The sequence below is a fragment of the Homo sapiens genome, chromosome 9, assembly GCF_000001405.40.
Source record: "Homo sapiens chromosome 9, GRCh38.p14 Primary Assembly".
In the NCBI taxonomy this organism is placed as follows: domain Eukaryota; kingdom Metazoa; phylum Chordata; class Mammalia; order Primates; family Hominidae; genus Homo; species Homo sapiens.
The window spans coordinates 34,888,960-34,909,869 of record NC_000009.12 but is presented as its reverse complement, the minus strand read 5'-3'; the positions used below and the strand labels follow the sequence as shown (position 1 = coordinate 34,909,869).

Genomic DNA, 20,910 nt, shown 5'->3' with positions numbered 1-20,910 from the left:
AGATCACGAGGTCAGAAGATGAGATCCAGACCATCCTAGCTAACACAGTGAAACCCCGTCTCTACCAAAAAACAGAAAAAATTAGCCAGGCATGGTGGCGGATGCCTGTAGTCCCAGCTACTCGGGAGGCTGAGGCAGGAGAATGGCGTGAGCCCGGGAGGCGGAGCTTGCAGTGAGCCGAGATCGCGCCACTGCACTCCAGCCTGGGCGACAGAGCGAGACTCCGTCTCAAAAAAAAAAAAAAAGGATTTCTTCTCTTTATGTTCTAAGGTACCTCTCAAAAGAACAAAGTAGTCTCTGTAAATAGTTCACTTAAGTGTTTGCTGCAATTGCAAACGGTCCCTGGTAAAATTGTGACAGACAGAGAAGCATACAAGATAATGTGATAGTGAGAAACCATACAGGAATTGAGCATTTGGCCTAGATGAGGCTCAGTTTGGGATGAGGCAGAACACGTGAAATGTCAATGGTCCATAGGATGGTGCTTGTCCAGAGCTTGGCCAAAGGCCAGGCTGCCACTGATGACAGGCTAGCTAAACCTCCCAAGTTGGGCAGACAAAACTAAACAAATTAGTCCCCAAAGACACAAAGATAAGATAAGGGAAGAGCCAGGTATAGCGGTGTGCTCTTGCAATCCCAGCTGTTTAGGAAGCTTGAGCCTGAGAGTTCGAGGCCAGCCTAGTCAACATAGTGAGACCCCATCTCTTAAAAAAGAGAAAAAGGGGGCCGGGCATGGTGGCTCACCTGTAATCCCAGCGCTTTGGGAGGCTGAGGCAGGTGGACCACAAGGTCAGGAGTTTGAGACCAGCCTGACCAACATGGTGAAACCCCATCTCTACTAAAAATACAAAAAATTAGCCGGGCATGGTGGCAGGCACCCTGTAATCCCAGCTACTTGGGAGGCTGAGGCAGGAGAATTGCTTGAACCTGGGAGGTGGAGGTTGGAGTGAGCCAAGATCGCACCACTGCACTCCAGCCCAGGCGACGACGTGAGACTCTGTCTCAAAAAAAGAAAAAAAAAAAAAAAGAAAAGAAAAGAAAAGAAAAAAAGGATGAGGTAAGATAAAATAAGATTGAGAAAGAAGTCCTTATAAGGATTTGAAGTGGTGACCCGAGACAAAGTCTGTCCAAAGGACACCATACTATGGAGGCTTTCTGAAGTCCTCAACCCCTTGTGTACTGGCTTGAGGGACTGTCTTATTGGATCTTTACCTGTCTTCTCCCTATAGATGTTTCCTGTTCCCTTTTCCCAGAGACATGCATGAGTTGCTCCCTTATCTCCTACTGGTCTTTGCTCCAATATCATCTTCTCAGACCTCCCCTTGCCACCTATTAAAAATGACAAATCTTGTTTATACTCTTGACTTAGTCTCTTCTTTATTTTTCTCCACTGCACTTATCACCATCTAACATACTACATATTTTCCTATTTGTTTGCTTTCTCTCTCCTTCCACTAGAATGAAAGCTCCCAGAGGGATTTTTTTTTCTGTTTCCGTCTTGACTATAACAATGCCTTTCACATAAACAAATGTACCCAATTTAAATTTGAGGGATCAATGAATTGTCTATGGCAGTGGCAGTGAAGACAAAAGCCTTAAATGGAGCCTAAAATATCCTTACAACAAGAAGTGCCCCTTCCTCAATTACAAAACATTTGTTTCTGGGGTATGGTATTAGTTCCATAAGCTAGAAGAGAAAACTTACAGCAGGTGAAAACTACTGTGAAGAGGCCGGGTGTGGCAGCTCACGCCTATAATCCCAGCACTTTGGGAGGCCGAGGCGGGCAGATCACGAGGTCGGGAGTTCGAGACCAGCCTGACCAACATGATGAAGCCCCATCTCTACTAAAAATACAAAAATTAGCCAGGTGTGGTGGCGGGCACCTGTAATCCCAGCTACTCGGGAGGCTGAGGCAGGAGAATTGCTTGAACCTGGGAGGTGGAGGTTGCAGTGAGCCGAGATCATGCCACTGCACTTCAGCCTGGGTGACAGAGCAAGACTCCATCTTGGGGGAAACAAAACAAAACAAAGCAACAAAACAAAAAACAAAAAACAAAACCCCAAAACTACAGCGAAGAAAGAAATCAAACTGGAAGGATAAGAAAAAGGGGAAAAAAAACTAAACAAAGACAATCCAAAAAGAGGATTAAATTGGATGAAAGACTGGACCAATGAAAAGAGATAGAGTGCAATGGATGAAAGAAAAGATGGCATTTTGAAGCACTAGCCTTTTACCGATAAATGTTGTATTACAGGAAAGGAGTATCTGTGATCTACGGGACAATCAATTATCAATTATGTAAAATACTAACTATATGAAACCACACTTCGTCTTCAGAGCAGAGGTTCCCCTTCTAGGTGGCAAAGGGGAAATGTCCCTTCACCTTTAGAAGGGTCTATGAAAATCAACCGACAAAAAGCAGATTAATAGGTGAAAAGGCATACAAGTTTATTAATGTGCATGAGGGAGGGGATGATTAATAGAGTAATTATTACTGAATAACCCAGTGTGGTACAGAAATTTACATATCCTTTTTCATGGACAGTAGGAAATAAGGAATGTCAACAATTCCTTTGAGGGGCAGTAAGTCATTAGGGAGAATGAATGGACCCAGGAGTTGGGAGGCCTACGTTAAGGGAAAGTGAGAGGTAGAGCTACACGGGAACAAAGGTTGTCCTACACAGATAAAGTTCCCTGGGTGATCTCTTGGGGCTACCATCAGCAGAACAGATGAAAAATCTGGATCAGCAAAGTGGCTCACAACTGTAGTCCTAGCCCTTTGGGAGGCCAAGGAGGGAGGATCCCTTGAGGCCAGGAGTTTGGGACCAGCCTGGGCAATATAGTAGACAACCTGTCTCTATGAAAATAAAATAAAAATTAGAGGGGTGGGGTGGTGCTCACCTACAGTGAGCTATAATCACACCACTGCACTCTAGCCTGGACAACAGAGCAAGAGTCTTCTCTTTAAAAATAGTGTGTCTGGGTGTGGTGATGACACCCAATTTCTTCTCTTCTCCAGTGGTTGATCTTTCCTGGTTATTTGAATCCCTATGGAGGGGATTTCAGACAACTGCATTGCATTTCTTTTGGAAACAAAGTTACTTGTTTAGATAAGGAAATTCCAAGAGAGTCCCTCCCTGCACTTTGAGTGGGGGGAATAAAAGAGTTAGGGGTTAGGGTTAGGGATCTTGATTCTGAGGCAGCTTTTTTTTTTTTTTTTTTTTGAGATGGAGTCTCATTCCATTGCCCAGGCTAGAGTGCAGTGGCGTGATCTCGGCTCACTGCAAACTCTGCCTCCTGGGTTCAAGCGATTCACCTGCATTCTGAGGCAGCTTTTAAGGCCTCACCATGTCAAAGCATCAGGAAGGAAGCACCATGTCAAAGCACAATGAAACTTAAGATTCCTTTCTGCTGACTCCAAATTTTTAGACAAAACTTTACACCTTTAACCACTTGTAAATTAAAGAATCTCTCAATCCATGTATAACGTGTAAGATCTGCTTCAAGACATCCTGCCTTTCTGGGCTGAACCAATGTATACCCTTCATGTACTGATTTATGACCTTGCCTGTAACTTCTGCCTCCCTAAAATGTATAAAACCAAATTGTAATCCAACTGAGGCAGGCACACTTTCTCAGGACCTCTTGAGACTATGTTACCCAGGCCATGGTCACTCATATTGGCTCAGAATAAACCTCTTTAAAATATTTTCAGAGTCTATTTTTTTCCACTAACAGCCCCAACACCCTCAACAACTTCTCACTTCCTTTCCCCCCTCCCTGTTTCTCCCCTCTAATCCTTCCTGTCTTTCCTTCTCAACCCTCAGGACTGCATGTGCACACACCCACAAAGACCAAAAAATCTGTGTAGAGAAATGCACCCACACAGACGTTTATACCTAGAAACACATATGGTCAGGTTCTGAAGACCCATCTCCACAGTTCATGTCCACGTGACACAGAAAAACATTCCCATGAGGAGATATCCACAACCCCAGTTTCCACACGAAGACAAAATAAAATCTAAAACTCAGTTAATTAAGATCAAATATATACAAAATAAAATGCACTCAGAGTAAAATAAATATTTCAGGAATCCTTCTGTTATTTCTGCATGTTATCATTACACAGAGACACCAGCAGTTTATGCATGTTGATTCCTGCATTTTGGATCACTCCCTCTTCCAACTCCACATATTAAAATCCTCTCTCAGCTTCAAGCACCAGCTTGAATGCCATCTTCTACATGAAGCTTTCCCAGATCACTTCAGCCAAAAATAATCTCCCCTTTACAGGAGATTTATATAGCAACTTTATATAATATTTATAAGGAGATTATATACCACATACTCTCAGATACCGTATTATTGTATAGATACCTATTATTTCCCACTATGCTGAAAGCATGTAACTTTTAAGTTATCAGAATTCACTTCTACATACTTTTATATCCCCTACAGTGTTTTATTCAACAAATAGGTTTTAATGAACACCACTTTTAGCTAACAGGGAAAAAACTAAAGCACAGGAGAGGAAGGCGGCTTAGATGAGAAATGGGGGTGCTTGTTCTCCTCTGGTAGGAGGTCAGGTTGTGGTCATGCCAGTAGTCTGGTGTTTAGGATTGCCCTCCCTGCCTCTGCAGCTGGTCAGGAGGGTGGAGACTAACGAGGGGAATCAGAACCAGGAGCCAGCTTTCAGCTTTATAGGCAGGCTCCATTTTGTCAAGGTTCTCTGAACCAAGTGGTTTCTTTGGGATGGATCCACTGTAACTAAACTAAAAAGAGACTGAAGCATAAATCAGAATGCTAATTTACTAATTTATAGTGATAAATGTAACTCCAACGAACCTGGCCTACTCCCACCTGCTGGTCAGGGCATTCTCTCCTTCTAGGTCTATTTACATTGCAAGTTCTAGGCTACTCAGAAGTGTCTGATGAATGTGTAATCCAGTCAGTGCTGTGAGTGCATAAACTAGAAAACCTAGAAGAGATGAATAAATTCCTGGAAAAATACAACCCTCCTAGCTCAAATCAGGAAGAATTAGGTACCCTGAACAGGCCACTAACAAGCAATCCTTTTGACACTATTCCACAAGACAGAGAAAGAAGGAACCCTCCCTAATTCATTCTATGAAGCTGGCATCACTCTAAGACCAAAACCAGGAAAGGACATAACCAAAAAAGAAAACTACAGACTGATATCCTTGATGAGTATAGATGCTAAAATCCTTAACAAAATACTAGCTAACCAAATCCAAGAACATATCAAAAAGATAATCCACCATGCTCAAGTGGGTTGCATACCAGGGATGCAGGGATGGTTTAACATATGCAAGTCAATAAATGTGATATATCACATAAACAGAATTAAAAACAAAAGTCACATGATCATCTCAATAGATGCAGAAAAAGCATTCGACAAAATCCAGCATCCCTTTATGATTAAAACTCTAAGCGAAATTGGCATACAAGGGACATACCTTAATGTAATAAAAGCCATCCACGACAAACCCACAGCCAAAATAATACTGAATGGGGAAAGGTTGAAAGTATTCCCTCTGAGAAGGGGAATAAGACAAGGATGCCCACTCTCACCACTCCTCTTCAACATAGTACTGGAAGTCCTAGCCAGAGCAATCAGACAAGAGAAAGAAATAAAGGGCATCCAAATCAGTAAAGAGGAAGTCAAACTGTCACTGTTTGGTGACAATATGATCGTCTACCTTGAAAACCCTTCACTGTTTGCTGACAATATAATCGTCTACCCTAAAAACCCTAAAGACTCCTCCAGAAAGCTCCTAGAATTGATAAAAGAATTCAGCAAAGTTTCCAGATACAAGATTAATGTACACAAATCAGTAACGCTTCTATACACCAACAGTGACCAAGCGGAGAATCAAATCAAGAACTCAACCTCCCTTACAATAGCTGAAAAAAAATAAAAATAAAATACTTAGGAATATACCTAACCAAGGAGTCAAAAGTCTTCTGCAAGGAAAACTACAGAACACTGCTGAAAGAAATCATAGATGACACAAACAAATGGAAACACATCAATCTCATGGATGGGTAGAATCAATATTGTGAAAATGGCCATACTGCCAAAAGGGTCATGAGTGGAACAATCTCAGGTGCTAGTGTCACTGGGCTGTGACAACCTAATGCCTTTCCTGCAGTTGGGGGACACACCTGATGAGAAGAACTAGGTGTGTACCAGGATGACACTGGAGACCTTTGGATCCAGCCTTGCTCTTTGGTTCCTGTTTTTAAAAAATTTACTTTATTTCATGTCATTTTATTTTTGAAATAGGGTTTAGCTCTGTAGCTTGGGCTGGAATGCAGTGGCACAATCACAGCTCGCTGCAGCTTCAGCCTCTTGGGCTCAAGTGATTCTCCTGCCTCAGCTTCCTGAGTAGCTAGGGCTACAGAAGCATGCCACCATGCCCAGCTAATTTTTTATTTTTTGTAGAGATGGGGTCTTGCTGTGTTGCCCAGGCTGGTTTTGAACTCCTAGCCTCAAGTGTCCTCCTGCCTTGGCCACCCGGGCTCCTATCTTAAAATTTATTTTATTACTGTCCTTCTTTTAAAAAACTACTGGATATGTGAATAGTCTGCAATTTCAAACAGCTTATTTATAATCATTCTGAGTATTTATATCCTCTTAACTTGAATGAAATAGAGGTGGCAAGGACCTTAGTGGAGTTTAGAATCAACCTTTTTATCTATCTCTAAGTTGCTGTGATGGGCTAGTTATTTTACTTCTTGGTGATTCAGTTTCCTCTTGTATAACGTGGGATAACAATACCTGGGTCTGGCTGGTGGTAAGCACTGAATGAGGTGAGGCGTATAACAGGCCTGGCACTGGGTAATGCTGCTCAGTCAGGGTTAATTCCCCTTTCTTCCTTGTGTTCCTGAATTCTTTGACCTTTATTTATAGTTCATTGTCTAGGTTAGCTCATCGCCAGAGATGGCCAAACTCACCTATTATATGAGGACTTTTCATAATATTATCCACAGAGATTTGCTGACACCCTATTAACCACCTCCCCTCCCCAAGAAAGCTCTTTTCTTTTTCTTAATTGAAATCTGTCATAGATAGGAATAAAATTTCAGAACATTTAGAAACATTTTAAATGGTGAAAAGGATACAGCTACTGAAAACATTTTTGAAATCATGACTAAAATTTCATTTCATTTATTTATTTTTATTTTTTTGAGACAGGGTCTTACTCTGTCGCCCAGGCTGGAGTGCAATGGTGTGATCATGGTTCACTGTAGCCTTGACCTCCCAGTTTCAAAAGGTCTTCCCACCTCAGCCTCCTGAGTTGCGTAGCTGGGACTACAGATGCATGCCACCACGTCTGGCTAATTTTATAATTTTTTGTAGAGATGGGGTCCCATTATGTTGCCCAGGCTGGTCTTGAACTCCTGGACTCAAGTCATCCTCCTGCCTCATCCTCCCAAAGTGTTGAGATTACAGGCATGAACCATCATGCCCAGACTAAAATTTCATTTTTATGGGAGTTTCTTTTAGATGCATTATTGAGGCAGATGGAAATGTAATTATTTTGTTTGGTTGAGTAGTAACTATCAGTAATATTTAATAGGATAATACATTTTATACAAGAATAAGAATATAAATTCATTTTTACAATCATAGTAACATATTTTCAAGGTATAAACAAAATTTAATCATTTTGATTATAAGATCTTCATGTGTATATTATTAAATCAAAAGCATTTCTACATGTTTATTTATTTACGCATGACTCTGTCTTCTGAGTTTTTACTTTATTAGTAAGGTATTTGAAAACATTTTTGGAAGATTCTGTTTTTAATTATCTTTTTACTAGGGAAAATTTCAAATAACATACCTCCATGTACCTGTCACCCAACTTCAAATTAATATTTTTTAACAATCTTGTTTCTTCTTTACCCCCACACTAGTTACCTCCTCGTTTTGAAGTAAATTCCAGATATCAGAAATTTATACCATTAAATATTTTAGTATGCATCTCAACATATACAAGCTTTTACAGTGACAGAGCTACCATTACTAAACCTAGAAAGTTCAAAATAGTTTCTTCATATCATCAAATACCCAATCAGTGCTTACATTCCCTTGATTGGCTTATAAATTTATTTTTATTTTCTGGAACTCCTGACATCAGATGATCTACCTGCCTCGGCCTCCCAAAGTGCTGGGATTACAGGCATGAGCCACCACCCCTGGCCAGTCACCACGCCCGACCCCCTATTTTTATTTTCTATAATTTGTTTGTTGGAATCAGAATACAAATACAGCCCACAAACTTCAAGTAGTTGAAATGTCTCTTAATGCTCTTTTAATACATAGATTCTGCTCCATTGCTTTAACTTTTCTCCTTATAATTTTTTTGTGGAAGAAACTAGATCCTTTGTCCATAGTCCTGATTCTGCTGATTGCATCCCTGTGGTCTATCATGTTTGTTTGCCCTCTGTATTTCCTACCAATTATATGTTGCTGAATTTGATTTGCTAAAATGTTAAGAACTTTTGCATTCATGTTCATGAAGAATGTTGGTCTCTAGTTTTCTATTCTTGTAATGTCTTTGGATTTGGTATCAAGGCAATCCTGGCTTCAAACAATGAATTGAGAAGTATTCTCTTCTCTTTAAATTTTTGAAAGAATTTATGTAGAATTGGTATTATTTCATACTCAAATATTTGTTAGAATTCACTAGTGAAGAAATATGGTCATAAAAAAATAAGAGTTTTCTTGACAAGAATTTTTTTGAGACAAGATTTAAACTACAAATGCAATTTCTTTAAATGGATATAAGGCCATTCAGGTTATCTATTTCTTCTTAAGTTTTGATAGTTTGTGTCTTTCAAATAATTTGTCCAGTCTTAGTCCATTTGGTGCTGTTATTACAGAATACCACAGAGTGGTAATTTATAAAGAGAGAATTTATTCTCTCACAGTTCTGGAGGCTGGGAAGGTACCAGCATTTGATGAGGGCTTCCTTGCTGTGTCCTCACATGGAAGAAGGGCAGAAAAGCAGAAGAGAGAGAACCCACTCCTGCAAACCGTTTTTATAGTGGCATTAATCCACTCTGTTCTCATGATCTAAAACACCTCCCAAAAGGCCCCACCTCCCAAAACTGTTACATTGGGGATTAAGTTCCCAACACATAAAGTTTGGAAGGAACACATTCAAACCATAGCAGTCCATTTCATCTAAGTTGCCCATTTATAGACATTAAAATTTTCACATTATTATTGTTATTGAGACATGGTCTTACTCTGTCACCTAGGCTGGAGTGCAGTGGTGATATCTCAGCTCACTGCAACCTCCACCTCCCAGGCTCAAGCAATCCTCCCACCTCAGCCTCCTGAGTAGCTGAGACTACAGGTGCACACCACCATGTCCGGCTAACTTTTGTAGTTTTTGTAGAGATGGAGTTTTGCCATGTTGCCCAGGCTGGTCTTGAACTCTTGAGCTCAAGTGATCCACCCACCTCAGCCTCCCAAAGTGCTGGGATTACAGGCATGAGCCACTGTGCTTGGCCTTCACATTAATTGATTGTCCTTTAAATGTCTTTGGAATTTTGGTGAGTCACCTCTCTCATTCTCAATATTGGTCATTGGTCTCTCTTTTTTCCCAAAGTTCCTATGACTTTTTAAAACATGAAGGACCCTGGCCTTGCTGAGGCTTCCACCTCAGAGTGATGGTGTTTCGCTTGGCATAAATTGTATTCAAATTTCTTAACCAGGCTTCCTGAGTTCCCCACGGTGTCCATAAGTGGAGTCAATGCCTCTGAAATTCAATCAAATTTTGAGTGTGAGGGGAGAGACATAGTTTCATCAGAGTCTCAAATACAAACCCATAGCTGAGTGCCTTCTTGCTTGAGGGTTATTTTTGATACTTATTTAATATAGAGGTTGCTGGACTCTGCATCTAGAGATTCCGATTCATTAGTCTGGAGTGAAACCAGAAAATCTATATTTTTAACAAGCTCCCGAGTGATTCTGATATAAGGCTGGGATTGAGAGCCCACTGGAGAAGATAACCTTTGAAAGCTCCTGTCAGGGTAGAGATGTCACAGGACTAGGCATATTGGGTGGGCATGTGCTGCCCTCTAGTGTCTCTGGCTGCCATCTACTGTTACTCCCCACAATCCTGCATTGGGTAGTAATCCGCTGTGTGAGCTCTGGTGGTTTTGCTGCCTGACACTACTCTGGGGCTTCCTGCCCAACTCCCTGGAAATTCTAGCTCTTGGGCATTAATGAACGTGCTCATCTATAAAAGTGTTGCCACTGAGTTGCAGCAACTATGCACCTCTGTCCCCGGCACCTTGGTATATTTGAGATGTTCACTAGTATTTTCTGAGTATGAGACACAGCGAAGCTCTTTCGTAAGGCTTGTGTGGAGGGACAAGTCTCACACCAGTGGCATGTCAGTCACATGTTTCTTTACAAGGCGATAGGACTCATGGGTACGTATGAATTGGTAGCCATGAACAGTTCCTTGAAGAAATTCTATTGCAATCATTGTGGCTCTGCAGCATTATAATGAAAGCAGGGTCTGGCTTAAAGCAAGTTTTCTAGAAACAAATGAAGAATAATCCTTGATAGTTGTGCAGCCCTCCAGCGTCCACAGAGGCTTTTCGTGTAGTTCATCTCCCTCGTTTGCTGTTCGCTCTCAACCACGAGGCAGGAAAGGCAAATGTGATGATCCATGCCCACATCGTGAGAAATGCCAGGCTTAGCTGTGATCATTACATGAATGAGCCCTTGTTCAGGAAGACACTGATCCCACTGTCCTGTCCACACAAGCACCCTTGTCGATGAGCCCCAAACCAGTAAATAAACCTATGCTAAAGGCCTAATCTACAAAAAGGCATGAGACCATTTTTGGCTCAGCCCTTGGCTCTAATTCCTCAGCTCTGAGGCAGAGGAGCAAGGGCCAGGCGAATTGCTGGAGTGGAGTTTTCAGTAGATGGTTTTAATGGCTTGGTGGAAGGGCAGAGGCTGTGGGTTATCTGTGAGGTAAGTAGTGCACTGGCAGAAGCAGGTGCAGGACTTGCAGATGTGGTGATTCTGCTGGGTGCAAGACGTCAGGCTAATGGGTGACAAAACTGTTACAGCTGCATAGAGGGTGGCAACAGCTGGTTAAGTAGGAGTAATAAAAGTAATGAAGGATACAGGCTACTTTGCAGGTATGTTGATGACCTGCTACTAAAAAGCTGACTCAAGCTGCCTTTTAATTGATTTTTGTTAACCTTTCATTCAGTGCTCTTTGTTTGAAAAAGTCTTCTCATTCCTGTATTATGGAATTTGCAAGTTCAGGGCAGATGATGAAATAGCTCAAATTCATCCCATTTTCAGGTAGGACTCTTCTTAAATTATCCTTAATATGAAGATCTAGTTTCCTTTTGTAGGTATAAGAAGGACATTTAAGAAAAACGTTCACTGATGCAAATCAAAACCGCAATGTGATACCGCCTTACTCCTGCAAGAATGGCCATAATCAAAAAATAAAAAAACAGTAGATGTTGGCATGGATGTGGCAATAAGGGAACGCCTCTACACTGCTGGTGGGAATGAAAACTAGTACAACCACTATGGAAAACAGTGTGAAGATTCCTTAAAGAACTAAAAGTAGAACTACCATTTGATCCAGCAATCCCACTACTGGGTATCTACCTGGAGGAAACGAAGCCATTATTCGAAAAAGATACTTGCACGTGCATGTTTATAGCAGCACAATTTGCAATCGCAAAAACGTAGAACCAACCCAAATGCCCATCAGTCAATGAGTGGGTAAAGAAACTGTGGTATATATATATGATGGAATACTACTCAGCCATAAAAAGGAATGAATTAACAGCATTTGCAGCGACCTGGATGAGATTGGAGACTATTATTTTAAGCAAAGTAACTCAGGAACGGAAAACCAAACATCATATGTTCTCACTGATACGTTGGAGCTAAGCTATGAGGATGAAAAGGCATAAGAATGATACAATGGACTTTGGGGACTTGAGGGGAGGAGTGGGAGGAGGTGAGGGATAAAAAACTACAAATAGGGTGCAGTGTATACTGCTCGGGTGATGGGTGCACCAAAACCTCACAAATCACCACTAAAGAACTTACTCATGTAACCAAACACCACCTGTTCCCTAATAACCTATGGAAATAAAAAAATTAAAAGAGAAAAATGTTCACTAATCCATTTGTTTGTCAAATCATTTTTAGAATATTTTTCCTTATAGCTAGTTCAAAAAGAAACCCTTGTGCTAATGAATTTTTTGGTTGTTTTTAAGTTGTGGTAAGATATGCTTAACATAAAATTTACCATTTTAGTTATTTTTAAGTGTACAATTCAGTGCCATTAAGGGCATTCATTTATGAATAAGATGGTTGTATTCATCACCCCAAACAGAAACTTCTGTACCCATTAAACAATAACACTCTATTTCCCCCTTCTCTAGCCCCTTCCCCAGCAAAATGTTGGCTTTTGCTTCTTGTGGATGCCTTGTCTTTGAAACTAGATTTTTAAGAATCTTGAAAGCAGGTAGGCAATACAACTCAAATGCCTTTGTACTCTCAACACTGCCCAACTTAGGGTTAAGCACGTATTGAGTGCTCACTATTCCTGTCTGGTGGAGGAACTAATGCTGGAGGAAGGATCAAATACCCTTTTCAGAGATTTTGTTTGTTTGTTTTTGAGGCAGAGTCTCATTCTGTCACCCAGGCTGGAGTGCAGTGGTGTGATCTCGGCTCACTGCAACTTCTGCCTCCTGGGTTCAAGCGATTCTCCTGCTTCAGCCTCCTGAGTAGCTGGGATTACAGGTGCCCAGCACTACACTTGGCTAATTTTTTGTATTTTTAGTAGAGATGGGGTTTCACCATGTTGGCCAGGCTGGTCTCGAACTCCTGACTCAGGTGATCCGCCTGCCTCAGCTTCCCAAAGTGCTGGGATTACAGGTGTGAGCCGCCGCACTTGGCCCCTTTTCAGAGATTTTGAGCCTAAGACCAACCACTTTTATCAGGGCAAGAACTTCTCAAGGAAACTCAGAAATCCTAGGGTGTTGGGGACATGCCATAATATTGATAGGGGTCATGAAGTTAACATTAATGTGAGAATCAGTGGGCAAAGGAGTGGTAGATCCCGGGGTTAAATGAGGAAAAATCCTGCTCTGCCTAAAGTTATTCAAATTCAGATTTTCATAAAACACTCTTTTAGGCAAACATTCCAACCACGGTGGATTCAACCAAAGAGCCACAAGTTTGTGAACCTTAATCGAAAGTTTTGCCAATAACTCATCTCCATGAATAGGCTAGATGCTATAAAATCTGTAGAGGCAATTCTGGAAAAATCAAGCCTTGTACAGAGCTCCAGAAGTGAGCCTCATTCATTTGCCTCCATGAAAGGTAGTGCTTACAATCTCTGCTCACCCATCTCAGGCTGGACCACGCAGATTGGGAGAAGTCCTTCTTTAACTCTCAGAAAGTTATTTAAAAGAACATCAGCTTTGTCCTTTCCTTGACATGTCACACACTGCCCTCTTTCTGAACCTCTCAGTACTGACCATATATCATTGCTGGTGGCATTAAAAATCGGTTTCCAAGATTTAACAATATGATGCTTGCCCTATCCTCTATTTTTTGTTGTTGTTGTTATCTTCCCAGTACAGATGATGTAGTTCATGGAGTTCCTCTGATCTATCCACTGTCTCTCTTATAGGGCATGTAGTGTGCATAGAGACTCGGTGTCATATGCACACTAGGTGTCAGGAATAGGTGTCAGGCCATTGTAGTAAAGGGGAGAGCTAAGCCATAACAGTATAGAGAGTAGAGAGAACATGAAAAGGTACATGTTGCCCATGACCTTGGCATCTTTTGCCCCAGGCTCTGTAGCCCATACAGAGCACCAGACACCCTCATCTGAACATTGAATCACCATAGTAAGCCTCTTTAAAAACAAATAAAGGTCTGTGATGCTATCCCTGCCTTGTGGAACAGGAGGGCTTTGTGATGCAGTCTGGTGATTTGGATCCCTCTTCTGTGAGGCAGAAATGACGAGGTGTAAAATCTGGAGGTATTAGGTTCTAAGACAGTGAAAGACTAGGGAGAGGGATGGCTAGTGAGGTTTAGATCATGTTGAGCCCTACCTTTGTTTTGTGGGATGTTGGATATCCCTTATACACCTATGGATCCATCTGCATTATTGCATTAATTATTTGGCAAGTGAAAAAGAGCTGCCAAAAATTAAGCTTGGTACCTAACAGGAGCTGTTGCCGGGTAGGGAAACACTATGACCATGGCTAAATTGATGTGCCTCAAACAAGATTTTATCCCCGAGCTTTCTCTTGTTACTCTTAGCCCTTGCTTTTTAAAGGGGTCTCCTCACTGGACACCAGAAGAGCTCCCAATTTGGGTGATTATTCTGGTTGGCAGCTATTTAGGGCCATTTGATGGCTGAACTCCTTTGACTTCTGGACCCATCCATCCTTTAATCTGTTCCACTTTTCCTCCCGTCTCATCCTAAAGTCCCCACCGAACTTATGAAAGGAATGGGGGTGGGAGGCATGGAGTATGGAAGAGCGTGAAAGTGAGTCAGAAATAAGCAAATAAGAAAACTCTTGGGGTGAAAAAGAATACAGAAAGGAAAGATAGAAGAGTATATAAAATTGGAACACAGAAAAAGACCAGGAAATGTTTATGAGTTTTGTTTCATTTTAGATATGGGAAAAAATGGTGTAGCAGCTTTGCATTCTAATGTTTTTGTCTTTAAGTGTCACCGAAGAGTCCAACAAAAGTCTGGAGATAGAACATCAAGAGGTAAAGTCCCAGTCTCTCCTCTAATTCACTTCTGCTGTGAGTGAGGTTCCCACGGATCCTGACCCTCTATGACCCCTGCTGCTAACAGCAGGTGCTCTAACCACTGCAGACTCTAGTACCCCCCAGGGACAATTTCTCATGGAAGACTTCCTTGGGTGGAAAATCAGAGCCTAGGCACATTAAAAAATTCTCTATCTTATCCTCCTGAGAATAAAGAATGAGGAATTAGGGCAGAAGTCCTCAACTCTGTCATTTACTAGTTTTACAAACCTGTGGAAGTCTCTTCAACTCTCAGTCTTGTTCTCCATAAAATGGGCATGTGATGATCCTTCCTCACTCCCAGTGTGATGGTGAAGGACAAATGAGACAAGGTGCAGAACAACACATCGTAAACGGTTAAGTTATACACAGATGTGACTTAGTGTTCTGACTCTGGGGTTTTCAGTATCTTCTCATTAAAAGGCCTTCAGCTTCTTATAGGATGTCCCTGAATCCTCTCCAGTTCCACATAACACTCACTATCTTCTGTTTCTTCAGCTAGGAGAACTTCACAGGAAGAAGCCGAGAAGTTGTGGAAGCTGCTGTTTCTCATGAAAAGGTAATCTCTTCTTCTTTGCAGTCTCCCAGCTGCTAGTCTGGTCTGTGATCATTTCTCAGCTTGGCTTGGGGTAGAGATGAGAAGAGGGAAAATGGATGGGAGGGAGACATACACAGTGGAGGCTGGTTCACTAGTTGAGAGAGTTACCAGGGCAGGGGGGCTGGGCCAGACATCTCAGGAGGGAAGGGTCACCCAATTCTGCTTTGGGCTAGGGTCACAGTAGTTCTAGAATTCAGGCTTGTACTAGTGTATAATTCATAAAAGACTCTACACAGGGTTGCATTCAGCCACGAGACAAGCTATCCAGTCAAGAGGAATGGATTTTGCGTAAAGAAGTCATCCCTGTCTTATTCTCTTTATTCCCTCTCCTCTGAGTCTGACTGGATTCTGCTGACATTACCTCCTCTGGCTCTGTCATTAGGGAGACAGCCCTCAGATGGCAGCCTATCATCTTATCCTCTTCTTAAGATTTCTAGAGAACAGGATTGATTCCCAAAAGATATTGAGTATATCAGCAGGGATACCAAATAGCTCTCAGAATGCAGAGGTCCTACATGAACTTCAAGCCCAAATACCGGGCTTTGGGTTTCTTAGCCTCAAATGAGACTGATCCGGGTTCTAACTGGTGATGCCCCATCAGCTAACCGCCTGGCTCCGTTCTCCTAGTTCAGCTTTTCAACAAGGTCAACAGAGAACTGACCCCAGCTCCCAGCCTTCTCTGAGGGCCACGCCCTCCCATGGGTCGTCTGAAGCCTTGCCCAACAAGCTCTAGATCGTCAGCCCAGCCCACCTTGCCAAATGGCTTTTTCTTTTTCTTTTCTTTTTTCTTTTTTTTTTTTGAGACAGAGTTTCACTCTTGTTGCCCAGGCTGGAGTACAACGGCACAATCTCGGCTCACTGCAAGCTCCGTCTCCCAGGTTCAAGGGACTCTCCTACCTCTGCCTCCCAAGTAGCTGGGACTACAGGCATACGCCACCATGCCTGGCTAATTTTTGTATTTTTAGTAGAGACGGGGTTTCACCATGTTGGCCAGGCTGATCTCGAACTCCTGACCTCAGGTGATCCATCCACCTCAGCCTCCCAAAGTGCTAGGATTAGAGGCATGAGCCACTATGTCCAGCCTCCAAATAGCATTTTCTTAGGAAGAAAAACAGGGAGGTAGACAACAAGAGAGTGTAGGCTCCAGGATTTTCAGGACTGGGAAAGGACAATGCCAACCCCGGCCCACACTTTTCCGAGAAGGCAGATGTCACTCCATCATTAATGTTTGTCATGTTTCTCTTCCCAGCCAGGGCTGGCTTCCTCAGGAAGGAAGTGTGCGGCGAATCCTGTGTGCAGACCCCTGCTGCCAAATCTGCAATGTTATGGCTCTGGAGATTAAGCAATTGCTGGCAGGTGAGAACAACCAGATCTCCCTGACTTCACTGGGGCCATCACAGGGCTCCTCTTGCCTAGAGGCTTTGTCCACATCTAGTGTGTCTTTTAAGCATAGTCAGGATCTGGGCTCCCCGAAATCCAAAGAGCTTTCACTGGCATCTGTAACTCCAACACTGTCACAATTAATGGATCAGAAATCTTTAACCCAGTCAGCTGCCCGGTCAGCTGGTGCAGACAGCGTCCAAGATTCCTGGGCTGATCACTTTCAGCGAGGACAGAGATCTCAAGTCCCAGCTGTGTCCCAGGTCATGGGATCTCTGTCTTCAAACTTTGAGAAGCCTGGAATTCCTCTGAGCCAGCAGGAGAGGACGAAAAACAACTCCAAATTTGTCCTGGAGAACCAAGGTCAGCAGCCCTTGAATACTAGATTCCCTTTCTTTCCCTGAACCCAGAGCTCCCAAACCTACAACAACAGCCTATGACCCTACATTCCTTTCCAACTGCTATTGCAATGTCCAAAAAGTCCTGAGGAATCTTCAAGTACAAGTGGGATATTGTTGCACATATTCCCACAACTGAGGGCTCCCAAGATCTGTGGAGGAGTTCTGTACAGGGCAGCTTATACCACACCACTTCTAATTTTCCAAAGGATGGAAAACAGACAGACAAACAGCCATTTCTTTCACTCTGAATGCTATCTCTAAGGCTTCTGCTGAACAGATGAGCTTCCATCCCTTTGACTCTGGGTTTCATGGGAGGCTAGCTGGTTCACCTAAGCTTTCAGGGTTTTTGAAGGATCCACTATGGACTCAGAGCAGAAAAATTACTGTGAACAAATCCCAAACCCCATGGTTCTAGCTCTACCCTCTCCTCTCTTTCAGCTTCTAAGTGGCCTCTGTCCACTGCCTAGAGGATGCACTGAGGCCTCAATGTGCCACATCTGTAGCTACCTTACTGTGGTTTCTCTTTTCTGCACATTACTGTCTGCCTTTAGAGATCCCTGGTCTGACTTTAGAAATCTCCAAAACAGGGGAGGCTTTGGCCCTTTCTCTGCAATGATTTCTCCTTCACCTCTGTACTAATTAAAATCTCCCCTCCTTCCCCACCTTTTCCCCCACATTCTCCATCTGACCATTGACAAATCCAGATCAATGTCCTATATCTGACTCAGGCTAAGTGAAAGCCTTGGAGTGGCACCTGCTGTAGAGGCAGCTCCAGCTTCAGTGGAGTTTGCCAGCTGTTGTCCAGAGATCTCTGTAGATCCAGGAAATCATACAATGTAAGCCCTGAGACATGTTGCAGCCTTTCCCACTAGATCCAGGACACTCTTTGATTGGGGAAGTCCATTTCAGTCCTCAAGAGGGAGGAAGCATTCTCCTAGACCATGCCCAGAGGCTGCTAGGATTCCACCTCCAGGAGCAATTGAAACAGAGGGTTGATTTGTCATTGCTGGGACCTGATCCAAAAGATCCAGCAGTCTATCCAGTTCATCCTGTGACCTGATGACCAATAATCCCTGCCCTGGAGCAGTACAGCCCTGACCTATGTGGGTCTTCCCAGCATGCAGCACCAGAAGCTAGTGGGAATAGTGGCCTTCTCTGATCCACTGTGGCAGGAGGGCCAGTCCGCAATTGTTTCCTCAGGCCAAGGTAATGTTGCAGAGCCACATAGATTACAAATATGGGAAGATCTGCTAGGGCATTGTCCCTGCCCATATCTGCCATTGTTGGGACTACAAATCACTGGTTCTGCAGTATTCCAAAGGCCTGGGAAGCAACTTGGCGCCCCTGTCCTCTGAAAAGCAAACACCTGGACCTGGAAGTGACACATATCAGCCCCTACACAGATCAGGAAAGGACACTCTGAATACTGACAGGCCTTGATCAGCAGCAACAGGGCTTGCCAGATGCTGTTACTGATGATCCTGAGCTGCCCAGACCCTGTCCCAGGAAGCCACTGAGAAACTTGAGACAAGTTTTGGCCCTTCTGTCAGGGCTGCCTGCTCTCTATTATGTGGCTCTTTCCAGGGCTGTGGCCCAGGCAATCACTCACGAATCCACAATCACAGATTGAGCCCATCAGAGCCTCTGACTCAATCTCATCTGAACAGCAATGTGTAAGTCCTGGGCCATGCTTTCAAAACACCAATGAAGCTTGTGTAGATAACGTACAAGTGTTCTGCACTAAAACACAAGCTGATGGAGATGGTACCGCTAGAGAGGCAGACAGATCCTCACAGCCCCTAATCACTCAAGGCACCCATCTTGGCCAAACTAAATTTCTACCTGAAAAATAAATTCCTTGAGATACATTTGGGAAGTCCCATAAAAACAAGGGAATCCAGGGAACAAATTTTCACCATCCCAAAGAATATCTCCACACAGGGATCCTTTAGGAGTCTAAAGATTGCTAAACCAAGGGAAAACATTACTCCAGAAACTTCATATCCCACCAGGCATCCCATGGGCCCCAGATCCAGAAGGGGTTGGACTGAAAGAACAGCTTGCCGTTGAACTAAAGACAGTGCAGCAGAGCTACAAGTGATCTAGTTCCATAGCAGTACCCCATGCCCACTGGGATTCTGGGATCTCACACCCAGTGGAGACATGACAGAGGCCCAGGTACTTTGTGTTCAGCTGGAGGCTAGAGTGAACAACCCAGCCTGGAGGGCCCTAAGCCCCTTAGACCAGGTCTTTGCAAAAGTGAGGACAAGTCCCTACCCCAGCAGAGAAAACAGTTGACCCAGTGACATTTGATGACATTCAAAGCAGCTGGAAATCACAGAGAAGGGGGTGTCTGGACAGCACTGGAGCTCTCCCCAGCCAGAGAGAACACCCTTTCTGCCAAGGTTCAGGGGCGAGTAGGGGCACTTCTAAGCAGAACTCCAGAGCTCACAACTTGCCAAATATATCTCCAGGATCTTTCTTAGGTAAAACTTTAGTTTAGCTAAGATGGTTGCCTTGAGCAGAGACTAGCAAGGATCTGTCTGGATCTGCGGAGCCCCATTTCCATCCTCTCAGTACTGGCTATTGCTGTTTCACCAGCTTCTCCATAACCTTGAGTTCCAAGAGCATCCTCCAGGATTACTTGGGGCAAAAGGACCAGATAAGAATAATTTGCAAAGCTGTTAGAGTAAGCCGAATAACCTCATCCAAACAAGGATTTCTGAGAATGCCAAACCGGGAGTGCCCAGAGCTTAAAGGGCCAACTTACTGGGCCATTACTTGCTGGGCCAAAATTTTGCAAGTACAGTATTTGAAGGGGTAAATTTTTTTCAGATCCAAAGTTTTCAGGGTCAAATAGTTCAGGGCCATGTTTTACAGGGCAAAATTTGCAGGGTCAAAATTTGCAGGGCCACACTTTCTAGGGCTAAGAGTTGCAGGGTCTGGTAAGGGCAGTCCATACTCACAAGAGCATCATCCTTCCAGAAGCTCCAGAAGTTGGCTTGGATAACAAGATGAAGCTGTTTCTGCACTGGATTAACCCTGAAATGAAAGATCGAAGGCATGAGGAATCCATTCTCCTTTCTAAGGCTGAGACAGTGACCCAAGACAGGACAAAAAACATTGAGAAGAGTCCAACTGTCACCAAAGATCATGTGTGGGGAGCTACAACACAGAAGACAACAGAGGACCCTGAGGCTCAGCCTCCTTCTACTGAGGAGGAAGGCCTGATCTTCTGTGATGCCCCCAGTGCCTAAATAATCTGCTCTAGCAACACTCCCTTCAGTCCAGCCAATCCTGGGTCCTGTGCCACTCCTACAAATGCTCCAAACTCTGTCCTCAAATGACTTGTGCCACTCAACCAGGAAATCTATCCCAGGTCTAACTCACCTCAGCAGAAGGCACTGTTTTATGCAAGAATACCCATCACAAGAAAAAGGAGTTCATAGGTTCCTGAACCTCTGCAATCCCCTGAAAAAGGCTTTCATTGCCATTTCCATTAACATGCAGGTGAAGCAGGGCATTCTCCAAATATACTTTGTACCTTTAAGCAAAGAGCCACCTGTTTGTGCCTCCTCATTTTCAATGTGGTATATGATAGACAGAGAGAGTAAAGGACCTAAAAAGTACTTCTTATGTGGTATAGAAGCTTAAATCACAT

General features: G+C 43.2%; 2 protein-coding genes across 10 annotated transcripts in view; one reads left to right on the top strand and one right to left on the bottom strand.

The window, feature by feature from the left end:
• The window catches only part of PHF24 (PHD finger protein 24), a 316,938-nt gene that overhangs the window by 72,675 nt on the left and 223,353 nt on the right, over positions 1-20,910 (bottom strand). For all 6 annotated transcript variants that reach the window (XM_047423102.1, XM_047423103.1, XM_017014554.2 and 3 more), the window contains one exon: positions 20,216-20,291. In XM_047423102.1, coding sequence (XP_047279058.1) covers positions 20,216-20,291 — 76 coding nt within the window. The remainder of the gene's footprint in view (positions 1-20,215; positions 20,292-20,910) is intronic.
• SPATA31F3 (SPATA31 subfamily F member 3) lies at positions 14,106-20,804 on the top strand. 4 transcript variants are annotated; one of them, NR_164743.1, is made up of 5 exons: positions 14,106-14,291; positions 14,733-14,831; positions 15,369-15,429; positions 16,718-16,824; positions 20,235-20,804. NR_164743.1 is itself a non-coding variant. In NM_001309427.2 (5 exons), exons 1-5 carry the CDS (start codon positions 14,148-14,150, stop codon positions 20,504-20,506), a joined length of 627 nt encoding a protein of 208 aa, NP_001296356.1. In that variant the 5' UTR covers positions 14,106-14,147; the 3' UTR covers positions 20,507-20,804. The 4 variants fall into 4 exon arrangements, 3 of the variants coding, with proteins under 3 accessions (NP_001296356.1, NP_001362823.1, NP_001296355.1); NM_001309427.2 differs by having other exon boundaries at positions 14,786-14,831; positions 20,238-20,804; NM_001375894.1 differs by having other exon boundaries at positions 14,786-14,831.